General features: G+C 42.7%; 1 protein-coding gene across 1 annotated transcript, besides 2 other annotated features; it reads left to right on the forward strand.

Annotated features, from left to right (window-relative positions):
* Positions 4666-5167: an enhancer, noted in NCBI's record as "H3K4me1 hESC enhancer chr5:53735813-53736314 (GRCh37/hg19 assembly coordinates)". NCBI's record gives its function as "activates a minimal SCP1, AML or CMV promoter by ChIP-STARR-seq in naive H9 embryonic stem cells {active_cell/tissue: H9 hESC(naive)}" and the evidence as "EXISTENCE:reporter gene assay evidence [ECO:0000049][PMID:30033119]".
* Positions 5444-5503: an enhancer, noted in NCBI's record as "active region_22550". NCBI's record gives its function as "activates an Ori minimal core promoter by ATAC-STARR-seq in GM12878 lymphoblastoid cells {active_cell/tissue: GM12878}" and the evidence as "EXISTENCE:reporter gene assay evidence [ECO:0000049][PMID:35858748]".
* HSPB3 (heat shock protein family B (small) member 3) lies at positions 20382-21060 on the forward strand. Its single transcript, NM_006308.3, has one exon. It carries the CDS (start codon positions 20473-20475, stop codon positions 20923-20925), a length of 453 nt encoding a protein of 150 aa, NP_006299.1. The 5' UTR covers positions 20382-20472; the 3' UTR covers positions 20926-21060.

Here is a 21762-nt window from a genome sequence, read left to right on the forward strand (position 1 = left end):
CCTTAGAATTTTTCCAAGATTCTTGTTATCCATTCTATTCATATTTATATCATCCATCATATGAGGCAGAGGGGAGGGAAATGTGTCAATAGAAATATGTAAAGGCATTCAAGTGGGTTGGTATTTTCAGCATTAACTAATTATTCTTTCTTTGGAATAATGTACCAAAAACCATATTAGGACTTTCCGGTTGAAATAAACTACTGTTAACTAGCTCAGGTAAAAAGTGAAGAATTTAGTGAGGAAGCATGTTCAGCTGTTTGGTTTTTTTGAACCCAACCCAATGAGGCTTTGGGAATGGCATATTATTACACATTGCTGTGTAACAAATTGCCAAAAGCGTAATGGCTTGAGAAGAACACAAATTTATAATCTCACAGTCTCTTCAAGGCTGCATTGCATGTGTCAGCGGGGGCTGGTTCTCACTTGGAGCTCAGGGCCCTCTTCCAAGCTCATTCAGCTTGTTTGTGGGCAGAATGCAGTTCCTTGAGGTCACAGGACTGAGGCCTCCACTCCTGCAGGCCACTTCTCTCCACAGACAGTCACCCAGGGCTGTTTGCTTTCTTTCTTGAGCAGTTAAGAGACTCTCTCTGCTGCTTTTTAAAGGTTTTCACCCCATTAAGTGAAGTTCAGTGAGGATTATATTCCTTTTAACTCCAAATCAACTGATTTAAGGCCTTCATTACATCTAGAACACACCTTTTGTCATATAACATAGTAAGTTGGCCAGGCATGGTGGCTCATGCCTATAATCCCAGCACTTTGGGAGGCTGAGGCAGGTGGATCACAAGGTCAGGAGTTTGAGACCAGCCTGGCCAACATAGTGAAACCTCATCTCTACTAAAAATACAAAAAATTAGCCGGGCGTGGTGGCAGCCACCTGTAACCCCAGCTACTCGGGAGGCTGAGGCAGGAGAATTGCTTGAACCTGGGAGGCAGAGGTTGCAGTGAGCGGAGATCGTGCCATTGCACTCTAGCCTGGGCAACAGTGTGAGACTCTGTCTCAAAAATATATGTATATATATAACATAGTAAGTTATAGGAGTGATGTTTCATATTTGCAGATCCTTCCACTGTCAAGGGTAGGTATTATACAGGTCTATACCAGGGCTGGACTCTTAGAATTCTGCCTACCACAAATGGACTCAGTTTAAGTGCTGGAAAACTGAAAAAATCTTCTTCTCTTCTATCTTACCTCTTCTCTCTAACAGTCTCTTCCCTTTGGATTCTCTAAATTACCAAGGAAGAGCTCTGGCCTAACTTGGATGGGATGTTCAACCCTGGTATTATCAACTGTGGCCAGGGGCATGATTCCATGTTGTATAAAGTAGCTTCTGGGGGTCCACTGGTGTGGTTGAGAAGGTAGGAGTAGTTCACTTAAGGAAGGGCCGTGTGAGCTGGGAAGATACTCCAAAGCTATTTACCTCGTGCTGCCTTTTATTCAGTGAAGAGCACATTCTTCTGATAGGTCAGACAGCAATGGGTAGTAAGTGATAATGGCCCCTGGGCAGCAATGAATTGTGTTGTGTCCTCTTTTATGTCACCCTGCAATTCTCCCAGAAACAAACTCATTCTAAAACTAGGCTGTGTTCATTCACGCCACATTCAACAAATCAAAACAATCCAAAACTGAAATAAAAATTCATGTAGGGTGATGGTGAGGAAATGGGGAATGACTGGTAATATGTATAAGGTTTTCTTTTGGGGGTGATGAAAATGTTCTAAAATTAGTGTGTATATATTCCACTGCAGTTCATAGAAATGGCCCTAGCCCATAGATTGAGGTCTCTTAGTACCGTTCCCCATTAAAAAGATCCTGGGCTCCTTAGCGGTAATGGCTTATTCCAAGTTTGAGGCATGGAAGATATCAGGTGAGCCTGGTACATCTTTTGGGGTGTCTAAAAGCAAGAGTCCAGGGTTTAATGAGGTCAGGTGAAAGGTTTGGTCAGTTTTAGCCCCTTCACATTGGCTACAATGTTGTGTGTTATGGTTTGGCCTCATAAGCACCTATTCAGGGGAGTACAACAGAGGAAAGCTTTGTCACTCAGACACCTGGGAGGTCCTGCAGATGATGCCTGAAGCTGCAGCTGGAAGTGTTGCTTGTGCCTGCTGGGTCACTGGGAAGTGCTATGCAGTCACAATGAAATTTTCAGGTGGCATTGTGTGCCATCTTAGACTTTTTTCCCCCCAAGTTTCATCCCTCCCACCCCTCAGTTCATGAAATTTCACTCTCCCAGATACTCTGTACATCTTTTCTTGTACTATGTAATAACTACATTCTTTCACCCCGCCCCACCCTGCCAGGACAATTTTTGCCCCGTAGGGGCTGATATTTCCCTTATTGAGAATGCATGCTCCACTCCATTTGTGCTGGCAAGTGTGGAGAATGTGGGCATTTATGTAGGGTGGTGGTAGGGAAATGGGGAAACTAGTAATATGTATGGGGGTTTTTTTGGGGGGTGATAAAAATGGAGGACCCCAAATGACTGTTATTTTGGGGCCCAGAAAAGGACCAGGGTAAATACATTTCATCATTGGGATTCAAGGCTGGAATCTTTTCTGATTGAGACCCTTGGGTCATTTGGACAGAGAAACAGCGAGACAGATTTCATTCCCTTCTCTCCCACAGGAGCTGACCCCAAATGTGTCTCCTGCATGCTGGTAACCATCTCGAGTCCGCTGCCCAGGGAACCCACCTTGGGATCATTTTGCTAAATATCTCTAATATGTGGTTGATTTATTACTGCTGGGTCTAAAAGCTACTGTTTGAGCATTTATATAGTGTGCAAAAAACTTGTCACTATGCATACAGTGCTGGCTGTCTCCCGTTGACCCTCCCAAGCTACTCTCCCTCTGCTCTGTGCTCAGGGAGACTAGCCATAAGGATTACATCAATGGGCCCGTTGCCACAGGTTCCTGATGGGCTTGGCCAATGGAAAGCAGCAGGTAGAGCATGAGGTCAGAGTATATTCTCAACTCCTCACCTGTCAGTCCACAGGGGGTTGTCTATTTCTCTCTGCAAAGGGTTTCTGGTCCTGCTATGTGGACCCCTCTCTATATATATTTCTTACTATGGGTTCAAGTGGCTACCTTCTCTCTTTGGCTTCTTCAGGCCAAAACTCCCTGCTCTTGCTGGCCCTGGAGACACTGCATTATCCCTGTGTTTCTCCTAGATTCTGCCCACCTTTGTAAATAGTCTATATTTTGAACCCTTCTTCAATTTCTCAGTTTGCAGATGCCGTATTCCCTGCTGGGAACATGACTGACACATTCAAGTCTCCTCGAAAGCAGTTATTTCCAAGATGGTATAAGATCCTGTCCCTGCCTCAGAGGTCAGGAACAGTGACCTGGAACAGAACAGCTTTGTGGATAACCTAAAAGCATTTTGCAAGCATAGAGGGTGAGGTGATTAGCTCTATCTGATTGAGTTGGGGAAGGCTTCTCAGAAGAGGAAACAGTATAGTCTGACAGGAATTTTCCATACAGAAAAAGGAACTGCAAATGCAAACGCATGAAAGCTTGAAAGGGATGGCCTTTTGGAAATCTAGAAAAAAGTCTCAGCAGGTAAAGGTCAAGTGTGTGCACACAGGCTTGTTTGCAGGGAAGGTAGGAAGGGGAAGAGGCATGCGGTGAAGTTGTAAGGATAAGTTGGTTGCGGAAGATGCAGTCTTGAAGGCAGTAAAGTCTAAAAGTCTATAGTTCTCTAGAGGTCGGAAAGTATAAAAGTCTATAGTTCTCTAGAGGTCAGTAGAAGTGTTGTACAGTGTTGTAAGAAATGAAGGTAATACATTTCATAAAAGCACATGCTGTAACTACCAAGATATTATCACAAGGAGGTAGTTAAGAGATGGCTAGATTGTTGCAACCCTAGATGGTGACACGGTTAAGTTAATGTTTTGTAGAAGGAAGGGAAAGAAATAAACACTTAAGTGTTTACTCTGTGCTAGCGTTCGGACATAATATTTCACTGTAGGAGACATGCCTGTTGACTTTGCATCTTTCCATCTATAAAGCCAATGAGATTGCCACTGGATAGTACATCTTGCTTTGGGGCTTAGAAAAATACATCATCAGAATATTCCACTGTGAGGACCCCTGTCTGACACATATACAGACAGTCCCAGACTCATGATTTTTCAACTTCAACTTACGATTTTTTGACTTTATGATAGTACAAAATTGATACACATTTAGTAGAAACCATATTTTAAATTTTGTGGGTTTTTTTCCTTTTTATAAAAAAGAAATAGGGTCTCACTATGTTGCTCAGGCTGATCTCAAACTCCTTACTTCAAGCAATCCTCCTGACCTAGCCTCTCAAGTAGCTGGGATTACAAGTTCCAGCCACCATACCCAGCTTAATTTTGATCTTTTCCCAGGCAAGCTATATGTGGTATGATATTCTTACATGAGATATTTAACACTCTACTATAAAATAGGCTTTGTGTTGATTTAGCTGATTTAGCTTACCTGCAGGCTAATGTAAGTGTTCTGAACACATTTAAGCTAGGCTAGGCTAAGCTATGATGTTTGGTAGGTTAGATATACTAAGCGCATTTTTGGCTTATGATATATCTAAGTTATGCTGGGTTTATCAGAACATAACCCCTAAGTCGAGGAGCATCTGTAGTGGTAAACACATCATTAGGGTTTTTAATTTGATTGTTACTGAGAAATTGTTGCAGGTTGTGAGTTTCTAAAATGAATTTTAATTAACTCCCTTCATTGCTGGTCCTGGGTACTAGAATCGTAGGACCACGCATGGGTTGTGCATGTGTCCACACCCCACAAGCCCCAGTTTCTTAGTGGTCTCTCTAACTCCTCTTGTGATCAATAAGCTAAGGTACTCTACGTGCATACATGCTAGCTTTCATTTTCATGTAAAACTATGCAGAATAGTGTCTGGAACCCACTGGATACTCCATACATGGTCTCTTTTGATCTTAAAAGAACACAGCGAGGTGGGCATTCAGTAACTTGTCCAGGTTGAGAGTGGAGTCAGGATTTGAACCCAGGTGACCGTATCTTATGTTCTTGATCATCACGCAAGGCCACCTGTCATTGAGACTTGAACAGCAGATGGGGCCGGGTGTGGTGAATCCTAGCTCTTTGGGAGGCTGAGGAATGAGGATCACTTGAGCGCAGGAGTTTGAGGTTGCAGTGAGCCTCTGTGCTACTGTAGCACGGAGTGACTGTGCTTCTGTACTCCACCCTGGGCAACAGAGCGAGATCGTATCTCAAACAGTGGAATGACAAAGAAAGCAAAAATCAAAAAACAAAAACCCCGAATAGCAGATGGGCTGTGAGCATGGAGCAGATTGCATCAGCTGCATGAGCCTTCATTCTTCCTCCAGAAGGGCCTCCAAAGACAGCTTTTTCAAAGTCTAGGCTATAAAAATACCACCTTGAGTTTCACTTCTTTTCATGTATGAGATCTTAGATCTTAGTTCCTGTTTGCTTTGCAAAGGACATAAAGAGCCTGCCCAAGCATGTTCCTCTAGAATTCCCACCGAAACCAGGAAGATAGCACAGGAAGCTGCCTGTGGACTTAAAGGACCCCAAGAAGACCCTTCAGCCCTAAAATATGTTTCCAATAGCTCATCTTGGTGTCTGAAATGTCTTTATTTGAGGGTTATTACTTCAAGTCATGAGCTTTTTGGGGTTTGAGCACGAGAATAAATTTCTTCATGCTCTTCTGCCAGTATGTATTTGCTCTTTAAAGGCTAACAGAAACCTATTCAGTCCAGCTTTAGAAATAAACAGAACTGTATCCCAGTGATATAAGTGTTACTTCCCAGAGCACAGGGGCAGATAATGGCTTGGGAATTGGCTCTTGGCAATTTTTTGGTTTCTGGGCAATTCCTAGTTCTAAGGCAACTATTCTCCCCGAAGCTGTGGGATGCCCTGTTTCTGCTGCTCGCTACAGAGCCAGGACAGTGAGGCCAACATGAAGGCTGGTGTGGTCTGCCCTGCTTTGGCCTTCCTATGGCAGGAAATAGCCGCCTGAACTCCATGCAGACCTCAGTTAAAGGGCCTAATGCACACCTAATTCATGCCCCAATAAGGGCCTAAAGTCTCAGAATCTCAATTCCAAATCTCCGGTCAAGGGTCCGCCCTGGGTCCACTCACTGGACAGGGGTTGGGGCCGCATGCCAGGGCCATAGTGCTATTGGATCAGGCTTTCAGTCAAGGGGGCATACAAGATGGGTTTTTCAAGAGTGTGGGGAAATGACAAGAATCTCCCTTATAACATCCCAAGGACAAATGCCTTCCCTCCAATTAATTAACTCCTCATATCTGATGGCAGGGTCCTCAGATAAAAATGTGCTTATGGGCCAGGCATAGTGGCTCATTTATATAATCCCAGCACTTTGGGAGGACAAGGAGGGAGGATTACTTGAGCCCAGGAGTTTGAGACCAGTCTGGGCAACATAGTGAGACCTGGTCTCTATAAATAATAAAAAAGAAAATTAGCCGGGCATGGTGGTACACACCTGTGGTCCCAGCTACTTGGAAGGTTGAGGCAGGAGGATCACCTGACCCCAGGAGGTCAAGGCTGCAGTGAGTTGTGATTGTGCCACTGCGCTCCACCCTGGGTAACAGAGTGAGACCCTGTCTCAAAGAAAAAACAAAGTGCTTCTGAATCACCTGCCCCTCTGCCAGTCTTTAGTGCTGGAGAAAAGGCAACCCTGGCTGGTGGTATGAAATGAATGGAAAGGGAGTTGCTGGGGCTGGGGAGTGGGTGCACACAGAATAAAATGATAATGTTTTTGAGAACACTTTGGCAGGCTATGTGTAATTAACATGATACTCAAGTGGATTTTTTCTTTTTTCTTCATTTTTTTTTAACCTGGAAGGGACTTTGTAAATGTAGTTCAGTCCCTTGCCCTATTTTCCAGCTGAGAAGTGGGGTTCATGGAGGTTTTGGTCATCTACCCGGTGTTAGGAGACTCATTAGGACTCCTGTCTCCTACCTTTGCCTTTGATTGCCAGTTCTTCCCTCTACTCTCTGCCCTAGTATCTCCAATTCTACATTTTCTTTATCTTGACGTCCTTATCTGATCTCTCAGTTAAACTATGTTGTGGAAAAATAACTCCTAAAGCCCCAAGAACCACTTCTGAGCAAGCCATAGCAAGTATTTCCTTGGAATTTCCCTCAGGTTAAAAAGCAGACTTGAGTTTCTCAAGCTTAGTAGCTCAGCAACTAAAAAGTAATGTTAATATCACCAAAGGGCTTAAAAGTAAATTGCAGAAAAAGAATAAATATCATTTGATCACAGCTGATAAAGGTAATTCTAGTGTGATAGGGAAGTCTTAGTGCATTCCTTCCCAAGTGCTAGCTTGGTCTGAACCTCATCTGTGTAGAAATTGTGGCTTGTGTAGTTATCCAGTAACATCTAATATTTGCCATGGCTTTGACTAATATTTAAAGAAATGTGGGCAATGCTACATGCTATTCTTTTAAAAATAGCCATAATGGAATTGAAGTGGGTCAGCTTTTTCTCCAAAGAGTTTGCATCCTGTTACATACTATAAATAATAATATCTAACATGTATTGAACATTTACTATGTGCCAGGCTCTACTGTTTTACGTCTCTTTTCTAACACTCAAAGCAACCTAAGAGATACACATATTTTCCTTATTTTACTGGTGAAGAAGAAATGAAGGCTTAGGGAGATCGTGACTTGCCCTAGATCAAGCAGATGGTGAAAGGCAGAGTGAGGATTCAAATTTAGGTCTTTATGTCCCTTAAAAAAGGTTTCTTTCATCATACTAATAAGATGCCTCTTTCAGAATATGCATGTAGAAAGAACCAGCATAATTTGTGCTTTGTAGCTTCCAATCAGAAAGCCTGGGTTCAACGTTTACCCTTCAAAAATTTTCCAAATAGGGAATAAGATTCTAGGCATTAAAGAAATTTTTGTTTCCCCAAGCCTGCCACCTCCCACCCCATATAATACAAGTAATTTAAAAGCTAGTCAGACCAAATAGTGAAATGGACTCAGTATATGGGGATCTTTATTTGGAAAATAAAGTCAAAAGACAAGAAGAATAAGAATTATTTGTTTAGAATCTCAGTTATTATTAAAGAACCAGTCTTTCATCAGTAAAATTCTAGCCTCTCCCACCAGAGGGCAGTTATCACATAAACCAGAAAGCCCCTCTTGGCTTCACTTTCAGACACCACATCACACTACATCTGGAATTAGGTTTACAGCCCAGTACAGATCCTGAGAACATCTCTGCTTCTTTTAAGTCTGAAACTAACATGTCATGCCTTTCTTTTTTGCCTGCAACTTAAAGGAGCTTATGATAGCATAGAAACCATCTCTTCATAAAGGAATGTTAAAATGGACCAAAGACAGATGCTTGTATTGGTTCTATTTTGAGGGGTGGAAACCCTGCACCAAACACTCAGTGACAGAGTAAAAAACATTTTTCTGTGTCTAAAACTTTATATTTTATTCCATTTATGTACCGTCTGTGTTTCAGTAACCTGTATTTCCCCAGAAAAGTAGCTTTATATGCTTTTTCATGAAAATTCTAAAGATTAGCTGAGAAAAAGGATTATAGTTTTTGTTTTGTTTTTGAGACAGGGTCTCACTCTGTCACCCAGGCTGGAGTGCAGTGGTGCAATCTTGGCTCACTGCAACCTTTGACTCGTCGGTCAAGTGATCCTCTCACCTCAGCCCCCCGGGTAGCTGGGACTGCAGATGCATGCCACCACACCTAGTTATTTTTTTTGGTTTATTTTTTTGTAGAGATGGGGTTTCGCCATGTTGCCCAGGCTGGTCTCAAACTCCTAGGCTCAAGCGATCCACCCATCTCGGCCTCCCAAAGTGGGATTGCAGTTTTTGATAGACAACAAATTACTTTTCGAGTGTCCAGACTGCTTATGTTTTGGAGAAACCAACAGAAACATTATATATATTGATCACTGTTGCGGGAAGTCAAGGACCCCGAATGGAGGGACCGGCTGAAGCCATGGCAGAAGAACGTAAATTGTGAAGATTTCATGGACATTTATGAGTTCCCCAAATTAATACTTTTATAACTTTTTACTCCTGTCTTTACTGCAATCTCTGAACATAAATTGTGAAGATTTCATGGACACTTATCATTTCCCCAATCAATACTCTTGTGATTTCCTGTGTCTGTCTTTACTTTAATCTCTTAATCCCATCATCTTTGTAAGCTGAGGATGAATGTCACCTCAGGATCCTGTGATGATTGTGTTAACTGCACAAATTGTTTAAACAATATGAAATCTGGGCACCTTGAAAAAAGAACAGGATAACAGTGATGTTCAGGGGACAAGGGAGATAACCTTAAAGTCTGGCTGCCTGTGGGCCGGGCGGAACAGAGCCATATTTCTCTTCTTTCAAAAGCAAATAGGAGAAATATCACTGAATTCTTTTTCTCAGCAAGGAACATCCCTGAGAAAGAGAATGCATCCCTAAGGGGAGGCCTCTGAAATGGCCACTTTGGGAACGTCTGTTTTTTTTTTTTTTTTTTTTCTTAACGGTTGTAGATAAGGGATGAAATAAGCCCCAGTCTCCCATAGCGCTCCCAGGCTTATTAGGATGAGGAAATTCCTGCCTAATAAAGTTTGATCAGACTGGTTGTCTGCTCTCAAACCCTGTCTCCTGATAAGATGTTGTCAATGACAATGCATGCCCGAAACTTCATTTGCAATTTTAATTTTGCCCCGTCCTGTGATCTTGCCCCACCTCCATTTACCTTGTGATATTTTATTACCTTGTGAAGCGTGTGATCTCTGTGACCCCACCCTATTCATACACTCCCTCCCCTTTTGAAAATCACTAATAAAAACTTGCTGGTTTTGCAGTTTGGGGGGCATCACGGAACCTGCTGACATGTGATGTCTTCCCCAGACACCCAGCTTTAAAATTTCTCTCTTTTGTACTCTTTCCCTTTATTTCTCAGACTGACTGACACTTAGGGAAAATAGAAAAGGACCCATGTTGAATATCGGGGGCTGGTTCCCCCCGATAGATCACTTAGCACAGTGCCTCATAGAGAACATACTTTATGGCCAGAATCAAATTCAATCTTTCCAACATCTCTGGATGGTATGTTCTGTAGTTATACCCATTTTAGAGAAGTTGAAACATTCTCAGGTGAAGTAACACATCGAAGGAGACCCCCTTACTCCATGTTCTTAACCACCACGAAGAAGTGGATCTGTTGGAGATGAGATGGGCCTAGGTATAGAGACTTGGCAGGTTTACAAGGGAGGCGCACTGGTGCTCAGAAGTCAATGTCAGGAAAAGGAGGCTGACGCAGGGTAGGTAACTGTGGAAGCTACCCAGTTGCTCTCACTGGCTGAGACTACAGTCTCCACTACTTAGTCAAAGGGCATGGCTGCTCAAGTGATGTTTACAGACCATTACTCCATGAAGCAGGAGGCATGGATGGCTAGAATCCCTAAGTCCAAAAGTCAGACAGTCTGGCAGGAGCCTTGTGCGATACTTGTATGTGTTAACTTGACTGGGCTAAGGGATGCTTAGATAGCTGGTCAGACATTCTTTTTGGGTATGTGTGTGAGGTGTCTCCAGAGGGATGAGTCTTTGACTGTATAGACTAAAAAAAGAAGATCAACCTCACCAGTGTTGGTGGCAATCAGTCAATCCCTTGAGGGCCTGAATAGAACAAAAAGGAGGAGGAAGGGTGGATTTGTTCTTTCTCTTTATGAGCTGTGACATCCATCTTCTGCCCTCAGACATCAGAGCTCCTGGTTCTTGGGCCTTCAGACTCCTTGGAATGGAAGTTATAGCATCAGTTCCCCTGTCTTAGGCCTTTGGACTTGAACTGAATTTCCTAGCTCTTCAGCTTGCAGATGGCAGATTATGGGATGCCTTGGCCTGCATAATCACCTGAGCCTATTCCAACAATAAATCTCCTTTTATAGATCTCTATATTTGCAGTTTATTTGTTCTGTTTCTCTGGAGAACCCTGACTAACACACATGGCTAGCAGATTGAAGGCACAGAACTAGGATCTATCTCCGTAAAAAGAACAAATGGACTCTAGAGGAAATACCACTGCCCCAACCACCAGTGAAGTCTCAGTTCAGGGCAGGATCCAGGCCTTTAGAGGGACTGTGGAATTTGGCTGGGGGGAAAGCAAACAGAGGAGAAAATCTTGGCCAAATGTTCAGCTTTATGAATTGCACCAACTCCAAGAGTACGAGTGGCTCCGGTCTGGAATCTGGTTGGAGATTTGAGAGCGCAGGCAGATGCTCAGCTGTTGAAGCTATGCCACAGAGTCTGGCAGGCTAGATTCATTTCCAGTCCTGATGAGATTGAGCTGAGGCTGTTGATGATTTGTTTGCTTTGGTTACAATCAACTCAGTAGCAGGAACAGAGCTGAGCCTGAGTATGGGTGCATTGGTGAGCCCAGCAGTCGGGACTCAGGGGAGGCAAAGTGAACACAGTGGGGCTTGCTCCACCTGCTAACTTCTGGTTGCTGACATTCCAGTCCCTGAGCAGTGCCTAATGAACCTGACTCCATCATGACAGTCCCAGAAGGAAAAATCTTATAAATAGTCCCTTCAGAGTTTGTGGCCCTGAAGTTTCATGAGCACATTAGATACCAATTCAATGAGTAGAATCTTCCAAAGCTTTTTTCCTGTATTAGTTCTTGAACACTAACTCTTATCTCTCATGTTTCCTAGCCTAGTGTCTCGCTTAACAATGCGTAAAAGAGATCCACAAGTTTATACCTAAGGTGCCAGGTGGACCTCATACCCAGCAAGTACAGCAAAACTGCTTTCAGCTGAAGCGATATGGGAACTCTACAGGGAGGAGGAATGTTTGGGTCAAGGCTTAAAGTAAAAACACATTTTGAGCATCCTAGCTAATATCTGTGTCAGAGGGTGAGGGTATCTGTATTCATATCCTGTGGCTCTGGTAACAAATAACCATAAACCTGATGGCTTAACCAACAGAAATGGACTTTTTCACAGTTCTGGAGGCCCAGAGTCCAAAAGCAGGGAGCTGACAGGGCTGTGCTTTCTCTGGAGGCTCTGGAGGATAGTCTGTTTCTTGCCTCTTCTAGCTTCTAATGGCTGCTGGGATTCCTGGGCTTGTAATTGCATTGCTTTCATCTTCAAGGCCTGCATCTTCCAATCCTCTCTGCTCTCTCTTCCCATTGCCTTCTCCTCTGTGTTTCTCTGCCTCTCTCTTATAGGGACATTTGTGACGGCATTTGGTGCCTAGCCAGATCATCCAGGATAACCTCCTCATCTCAAGATCTTTATTAATCATGACTGTAAAGTCTTTGCCATATAAGGTAGCAGATTCTAAAGATTTACAGATTCCAAGGATTAAGATGTAGATATCTTTTGGGGGGCATTATCAAGCCTACCACAGCAGCCCTGCTGAAAGAAATAGCATGTAAGGAAGAAAAGACAGAGAAGGAGAAAGAATATTCAGACAGCGACCGCCAGTTAGTTGGAGGGTTGGGATGATACAGAACAATCCTATAAGGTATGGCTTCTTACAAACACCTATTTAGCGGTCTTGGTGGGGTCCTTGAATTCCAGACCAAAGAGTTTGGAGCATAGGATGGAGGAAATCCTAAAAATACAGATTTGGAAAGAAAGCTAAGATCAGATTGTATAATCACAACAGTTATGTGAGAAAACCAAGAACCACTGCAAGTATTTGATCAGGGGAAAGATGATGTGATCAAAGAAGGAATATTGGAAATCTTAGGAAGATTACATTCTCCATCCTTCAACTCTCCTTCTATTTGTGTTTATTATGGCTCCTATGGAAGGACAAAGTCCTTAACATTCCAGGCTAACATTCCAGAGTTGACTTCAGCCTTCAAGAGTGCAGCAGGGTCCAATCAAACCTCCTGTCATAAACTTTTTGGATGCCCTTGGGTATGTGTAGATATTAACTGGGTTGCCAATTTTATCTTTTTCCAAACAACTATTTTCATCTCCTGTTGTCTCATTACTGCTTCTCTGGGTAGCCGAGGCCCTTTGCTCTAATGTATATAATATATAGTACAGTCCCTTCCTTAATTCCCCAAAGCCTAGTTTACATTAGGCTGTAGGGCTGAACAAAACCTTACCAATGACTTGAGGATGACATAAGGAAATTACTTTGTTTAAAAGAAATATTCCAAATGGGATATTGTTCATCTAGGTCTCAGACTCAGACAAGCACAGCCTGTCAGGGTCTCTTGCTAACCAGTTCTCTCCTATCCGTCAGGCTAATGGTCAATTTTCTTTTGTTTTTGTTTTGTTTTTTGAGACAGTCACACTCTGTCACCCAGGCTGGAGTGCAGTAGCATGATCTTGGCTCACTGCAACCTCTGCCTCCCACGTTCAAGCAATTCTCGTGCCTCAGCCTCCTGAGTAGCTGGGATTACAGGTGTGTACCACCACGCCCAGCTAATTTTTGTATTTTTAGTAGAGACGGGGTTTCGCCATGTTGGCCAGGCTGGTCTCGAACTCCTGACCTCAAGGGATCCACCCGCCTCAGCCTCCCAAAATGCTGGGATTACAGGCATGAGCCACCATGCCCGGCTGGTCAATTTTATTAAAAGCATCTTATTAGACAAAACAAACCTGGAATTTATGTTAATTTTTTCATCCCCTTACATGCTTATAATTGTAGTTTATATGTAATATTCACTCCCTGACCAACTGCAGTTTAACTTCTGTCCCTACCTTACCATGGACTCTCCTCTTAGTTAAGTCAAAGACACCCTCACTGCTAAATCTAGGATTCCATTCGTACCTTCCTTAACCTCTTCAACATTTGACATAAGCCATGCTGCCTGCTCCCACTGCACTCCTTCCTTCCCTACCTGCTCAATGCCTCACCACAGCCACAGAAGAACAATCAGTTAAGACCACCACAGTCACCCTGCAGAGATGTAATTCACCCCACAAACATGATAAACTACCTGCTTAATAATGTAAAAACTTAAGTAACTTTCCAAACTATCAATTTTAACCAATTTTGGGGTCATGAAATCAATTTAGAGAGTTTCAAGGATCACTTTTCTTAAGCTACATAGAACTGAATAGAGACCATCAGAGTGTATTCACGTAGGAAAGCTAAGTGTTTTGTACCCAGTATGTGTATATGTATATCCACTAGGTCATGATAGTAAATATATTTCTTATTGTGGGTGGTCAGAAAAGTTTTTAAAAAGGCACTGATTTGGGTTTTCCTGAAGTTAACTCTATTATTCCAAAATAGAATCCAAACTTTAATTTGGAAAAAAAAAACTCAATAGAAATTTTGATTATGAGGCGATGAAGAATCGTCTTTAAGATTTCTGCTGTCGCAGCTTAAATAACTGGTGAAAGTTCAGGCAACTTTAAAAATGTTATTTTGTCTCAAGAAAGATGACAAGGCTTTTCATGGCTGGTCTCTTCCTCTCCAGCCTCATTTTCCCCGTTTCCTACTTTGCAGAGTGTATCGTGGCCACGCTGAGATTCTTGTATCTTCTCTTGGCATGATGTTTTCTTTTGGCTCCAGGACCTTGAAGATGCCATCCTGTTACCTGGAACACTCAGATGTCCTCCCTCTCCTTCTCTGCTCAAAGCTTCCTGTGGCCCACTCTGTCAGCCTTCTTATCCCAGCTGAGTCATGGCTCTTTTTAGAAAACCTTCTCGGACTTCAAGCCAAGCTGTTATTGGAATTTGCCGCCTGTGTTCAATGGTCAATGATCTCCAAGTCACTGCAATTTAACGTTCACCCTACTGATGACTCTGACCTTGGTTTGGTCGAGGACAGCATTGCTGCATCTATACTGTCATCCTTATCCACCTAAGCTCTTCAGCATTTGGCATAAGCCATGGGTGTCTTGATGGGTGACTAATGAAGCAGACTACACAGCATTTCTCACCTGTTTTATTACTGTATCATTTATCCTCTCCCAGATATCTTTAGATACTGTTCACCTAATTTCTCCTCCATCTCCCCATTAGAATTCTAATAACCCAGATACATGTCCATTTATGCACTGTGGCCCTTTGGAGGATCACAAACCATTACATAATATCTCAGATTTTATATAATCTTAGATTATGTGAATCTTTTTTTTTTTTTTGCTCCATAGGAACCAATTTTTACCTCCTTGTGGGCACTATCACCCCCAGTGAGAATGCATGCAATAAAATAAAACTCTATTTGTCCTCTTGAGAGGGATAAGAAAAAAAAATAGTTCCCACTCTTTAATAAAAGAATGTGGATTATTTTCTGTATATTATGATGTTTTGATATGTTAAAAACCTTTCCACCTGGAAAGAGACTGCACCTCCCAGGGCTGGCCAATCCTTAGAGACAGCAAAGGGCTCAGCTGGGAGTGTGCCTTTGATACGCAAACTGCCCAACCCAGAGCCATCTCTCCTCTATGTGGCCCCTGCACTCCAGGACACAACATTCCTCTGCCTTAGTCAACCAAAGGCCAGGTACCGGGCAATTGGAGACATCCTGTAGCTTAGGGCCTGCTGAAATTATTCAAACTAGCCAGTTCTAAACTGTTCATCCTGCCCTGCCTTTCCCTGTGGAAACCCCAATAATGGCTGTGGCTAAATCTTCCACTTGCTCCTGTCTTCTGCCTCCTGACTGCTTATGTCTTCCTCTCACCCTCCATAGCCAGTTGTCTCTAGGACCTGTGAGTATAACATACTTTGTTTTCCCGAGACTCTCTCCTGTATCTCCTCTTGTGACCACACCGCCCTGATCATGGCGTAAAAGAATACAAAAAAAGGTAAAATAGGGTTCTATGGGCTGGGCACAGTGGCTCACGCCTGTAATCCCAGCACTATGGGAGGCCGAGGTGGGCAGATCACGAGGTCAGGAGATCGAGACCATCCTGGCTAACATAGTGAAATCCCGTCTCTACCAAAAAATACAAAAAATTAGCCGGGCATGGTGGCGGGCGCCTGTCATCCCAGCTATTCGGGAGGCTGAGGCAGGAGAATGGTGTGAACCCAGGAGGTGGAGCTTGCAGTGAGCCGAGATTGCGCCACTGCACTCCAGCCTGGGCAACAGAGTGAGACTCTGTCTCAAAAAAAAAAAAAAAAAAAATTGGGTTCTATGATGGATAACAAGAGTACTTTCCCTAGATAGTTGGAAAAGACTTGGCTGAAGAAGTAACACGTGACCTGGAGCCTGAATGATGAGAAAGAGGCAACTTTAAGACAACTTGAAAGTCAAGTTTTCAGAACAAAAGGGACTCCAAGTACAAGAAGCCTGAGGAAGAACCAAGCTTAGAGTGTTCAAGGGACAGACAGGAGGCCAGTGTGGTTGAAGCAGGGGCACCACCATTTTACCTGTGGTCACCAGCATGCATAAAATGTACAACACGAAGACTGAACCCTAGTGTGAGGTGGAGGGGAGCAGGGCAGAGGGGCCAGATTATAGGTTCTCAAAGGCCATGGTAAGAATTTTATATTTCATTCTGGTTGTGATGAGAAACTTCTGACTTCAAGTTTGAAGCAAGGGAGTGACATCATCTATGTGATGCTCTAGAACAACTGCTCTAGTTACAAGGCGAAGGATGGACAGGAGGGCAGGAGAAGGAAGCCTGACAGATTCTCCAAAAGGACAAAAAGTCAACGTAGCTGATGATCATGATGAGGGCAGTCACGCTTAGGGCTGGAGTCAAAGGGCAGTTTTGGGAAAATTTTGGGAAAATGGCAGAAGTAGAAGTCTTGAATATCGCATCAGAAATGTGATGCTCATTTTTATTTTTTTCTTTTCTTTTAGATGGAGTCTTGCTCTGTTGCCCAGGCTGGAGAGCAGTGGCACGATGTTGGTTCACTGCAACCTCCGCCTCCCATGTTCAAGTGATTCTCCTGCCTCAGCCTCCTGAGTAGCTGGGATTACAGGTGTCCACCACCATGCCCTGCTAATTTTTGTATTTTTAGTAGAGACGGGGTTTCACCATGTTGGTCAGGCTGGTCTTGAACTCCTGACCCGCCTCGGCCTCCCAAAGTGCTGGAATTGCTCATTTTTAATCTCAGCAGCTCATTCACAGATCATACATGGAAACTTATCACTCACACCTAAGCCTTCTTTGCCTGTCTTAGAGATCCCTGGTGCAAGAAACTGTAAGATTATTTGACACATTTTCTCTGTCTCACCCTAACAGCCTCTTTCTAGTATTTGTTTTAAAAAACTTATTTTTTTTTTTTTTGAGAAGTTTTTTAGAGCAAGGGTTTGGGGAGACAGAGGGATGAATAAGTGGAGCCCAGAGGGTTTTTAGGGCAGTAAAACTACTCTACATGATACTGTAATGGTGGATACATGTCACCACCATGCATAAAATGTACAACACCAAGACTGAACCCTAGGGTGAAATATGGACTCAGGCTGATAATGATGTGTCAGTGTAGGTTTATCAGTTGTAACAAATGTACCACTTTGAGGCTGGGAGCGGTGGCTCATGCCTGTAATCCCAGTACTTTGGGAGTCCAAGGTGGGCAGATCACCTGAGGTCAGGAGTTCAAGACCAGCCTGGCCAACATTGTGAAACCTCGTCTCTACTAAAACTACAAAAATTAGCTGGGCATGGTGGCGGGTGCCTATAATCCCAGCTACTTGGGAGGCTGAGGCAGGAGAATCGCTTGAACCTTGGAGGTTGAGGTTGCGGTGAGCTGAGATGGTGCCACTGCACTCCAGCCTGGTCCACAGAGCGAGACTCCATCTCAAAAAAAAAAAAAAGTACCACTTTGGGGGTGGTGTTGATAATGGGGGAGGCTGTACATGTGTAGGGGTAGGAGGCATGTAGGAAATGTCTGTAGCTTTCCCTCAGTTTTGCTGTAAATCTTACTAGTGTTTGAATGCCAAATCCTTAAGATCATATCTATTTCTTGTCACTGGCAGTGAGTTCTGTTCTTGACTTTCCACTAAGAGCAGTACTGATGACAACATCCCGCAGTATTTTATGAGCCGGAGAACATTAACATATCTAAAAGAGTACATTTTCCTCTGGAGGGCCACCAGCCTGTAAACTGCAGGTCAAAAAGCTGAGTGTGAACAGCATTGTTAGGACATGTTTCTAAGTGTATGCCAATATGTCCACAGAGGTTTTTTTAGACTTATAAAGCGAGCTAAAGAAGACTTTTGTTCCATTTTCTGATTTTTAATTTATATAGACATTTTTTCATTTGAAGAAAGTGCATATATTTTTAAAGGAAAGGTACTCTTAAGTCTATCCATTTAAGAAAATATTAATCTCCATGGAGAAGAAATTTTCCATATTTTAAAATTTATTGTGTGTAGGTATATTCCATATACACTCTATAAATAAAAAGCACACTGGCTGGGCGCAGTGGCTCATATCTATAATCCCAATGCTTTGGGAGGCTGAGGCGGGCAGATCACCTGAGGTCAGGAGTTTGAGACCAGCCTGGCCAACATTGTGAAACCCTGTCTCTACTAAAGATACAAAAATTATCTGGGTGTGATGGCAGACGCCTATAGTCCCAGCTACTCAGGAGGCTGAGGCAGGAGAATCACTTGAACCTAGGAGGTGGAGGTTGCAGTGAGCCAAGATGGCACTACTGCACTCCAGCCTGGGCAACAGAGCGACACTCCATCTCAAAAAAATAAATAAATAAATAAAATAAAAAGCACACACTATCACAAAGAAGATGGTGGCAAAAATAATAATAAAAATAGTAAGTAAATAAATAGCACAGAAGTATTTACAGTAAAAAATTAGGTCTCCTTCCAGCCCCCACCTGCCAATCACTCTCAGGAGGCACCCACTGTCTTCAGCTACAAAGCTTTCAGAGAGATTTTATTAATATAAGCAAATACATACTTTTTAAAAAAGTATAAATAAGGCCTGGTGCAGTGGCTCACGTCTGTAATTCCAGCACTTTGGGAGGATGAGGTGGAAGGATCTCTTCAGGCCAGGAGTTAGAGACCAGCCTGGGCAACATAACAAGACCCCCATCTCTAAAAAAACAATCAAAAAAACTAACTGGGCATGGTGGCATGGTTCTATAGTCCCAGCTACTCAGGAAGCTGAGAGTGAGGGATTTCTTGATTCCAGGACTTCGAGGCTGTCACCCACTCCAGCTTGGGTGACAGAGCAAGACTCTGTCTCAAAAAAAAAAAAAGTATAAACACTAGCATATCATATATTGCCCTGGACTTTTCTTTTTGATTTAACATATCTTGGAGATTCTTCCATAGCTGTGGATAAGGAGTTGCCTCATTCTTTTTCAGGGTAAGTTTAGTATAAAGGGTGATATAGTGGGGAAATTATATTTAATTTATTTTTGCCAACTCAGTAGCAGAGCTGTGACAAGATTAATCCTTAGATTTTTGGAGGTTCATATCAAATCATTCAAAGCTTTGACATTTTTCTCTTCTTTGTGGCTCTATTTTCATCACTAAAATTCCCCATCCTATGCCCCTGCAGCCCCCATCTGACGTTTGTCACTTCTCTAGCTTAGTCATCTGATCTAATTTTGATGAGTCAGATGTAAATAAACCCAGATAATGTGTCTTTTAGCCCAAAAGACTAAAAGATAAAATAAAAGGAAATGCATAGGACACAGGGCAGTTTGTTGAATGGCTGAGATTTGAATATGTGTGTATTAATTCTTTCTGAATTACAGCTAGATTCTGCCCTCCCCAGCTTTGTATCTGGAGACGAGGGAAAATGTGATCCCAGTTCATATTATGAGTGAACATCTCTGACTGTTCTAAGAAGTCCTATTCCCTTAGATTACTGAAGTTCACAGGGAGAAAGCACCCACCCAGATATTTTTGGTTTTTGTTTGTTTGTTTGTTTGTTGAGATGGAGTCTCACTCTATTGCCCAGGCTAGAGTGCAACGGTATGGTCTTGGCTCGCTGAAACCTTTGCCTCCTGGTTCAAGCGATTCTCCTACCTCAACCTCCCAAGTAGCTAAGATTTCAGACATAAGCCACCATGCCCAGCTAATTTTTGTGTTTTTAGTACAGACAGGGTTTCACCACATTGTTCAGGCTGGGCTTGAACTCCTGACCTCAGGCGATCCACCCGCCTCAGCCTCCCGAAGTGCTGGGATTACAGGCATGAGCCACCGCACCTGGCCTCACCCAGATATTTTTCAAATACCATTTTCGATTCCCACTCTCTTTCTTGAAGTAAGCAAGGCAGACACATTTGCCAAGGATAACTGAGAATGTAAGGGCAATCCATGACTGGGCAGCTTGTGCAGGCTGTGTGCTAAATGCACTGGGAAACATGCCCTATAAATAGCCGTTCATTGTCAGCATGTGTGAAAAGACAAGAGAGCATTCCGTGCTATGATTCAGGCCTAATTAAGTGATTGCGTCTGGGCACGGCTATAAACCACTAGCTGCTTCAACTGGTAATCCAGTCAGTAGGCAACTGCAGGGGCTCGCCACTGACTGAAGGCAGTGGAAGGTTGGCAGAAGGAGGCTGTTCAAGGCTGTTTTTGCCTTCACTATGGCAAAAATCATTTTGAGGCACCTCATAGAGATTCCAGTGCGTTACCAGGAAGAGTTTGAAGCTCGAGGTCTAGAAGACTGCAGGCTGGATCATGCTTTATATGCACTGCCTGGGCCAACCATCGTGGACCTGAGGAAAACCAGGGCAGCGCAGTCTCCTCCAGTGGACTCAGCGGCAGAGACGCCACCCCGAGAAGGCAAATCCCACTTTCAGATCCTGCTGGACGTGGTCCAGTTCCTCCCTGAAGACATCATCATTCAGACCTTCGAAGGCTGGCTGCTGATAAAAGCACAACACGGAACCAGAATGGATGAGCACGGTTTTATCTCAAGAAGCTTCACCCGACAGTACAAACTACCAGATGGTGTGGAAATCAAAGATTTGTCTGCAGTCCTCTGTCATGATGGAATTTTGGTGGTGGAAGTAAAGGATCCAGTTGGGACTAAGTGACATCGTATCGGTTCCTGTTCAGATGACATGGGGAAGATGATGGTTCAGCCACTGGTACTACGAGAATGTTTGTATTACCCACATTTGAAATGATTTGCTATGATTTTTATGAAGATTAAAAATATATACACAGTTCCTGGTATGTTGAGGTTGTCTTTATTATTCTTACTCAGAAAGGAAAATTTGTAAATATGTTTGTGTGGCTCAAACTGATACTATTCTTACAACTGAAACATTGAAAATACAGAAGGCTGTATTTGGATATTAGAGAGGACTCCGAATTGTTTCTTATTATTCCAACAATGCCAGCTGCATTTGTAATCACTGATGGCAAAAGAGCTATACCCATTTAAGGAATTCCTATCCATTTTATGAAAATCTTTTATTTTGCCAAAAAGAGTTGTGATTCCCTTCACTCGATAAGCTTTTCTTTTTAATGTATTTTAATTAAAATGAGGTTTTATAAATATGGAGTGCAAAAATTAAAATACAGTATTTGGAAATTGGGTCTGATATCTATTTATGATTTAGTATAGTTGTTACTGCCTTAAAGGTCAATGGGAATTTTCAGATATAAATCTTATTTTTAAAAAGTTCAAATATGTACCTCATTCATCTTTTTAAAGATATACTGAATCCTATCTGAAGTGTTTTGACTTTTTAAAGATAGTATAAGTTCTATGGACACGTACAAAATGTTCATGAGATATGTATTTACATATCCTCTTGTAAATTAATATGAAGCTTAAGGACACCACTTTTAAAAGTTTGATTGCTGAATTCAGTGAGTTTTAATCTGTGCTTTTTAGATGCTCCATAAACTTAGATGGCAAAATG

This window comes from Homo sapiens, chromosome 5, assembly GCF_000001405.40.
Source record: "Homo sapiens chromosome 5, GRCh38.p14 Primary Assembly".
Classification (NCBI taxonomy): domain Eukaryota; kingdom Metazoa; phylum Chordata; class Mammalia; order Primates; family Hominidae; genus Homo; species Homo sapiens.

Excerpts from the sequence above, each read along its gene's own strand:
- HSPB3 (NM_006308.3), top strand. The coding sequence starts at position 20,473 with ATGGCAAAAATCATTTTGAGGCACCTCATAGAGATTCCAGTGCGTTAC.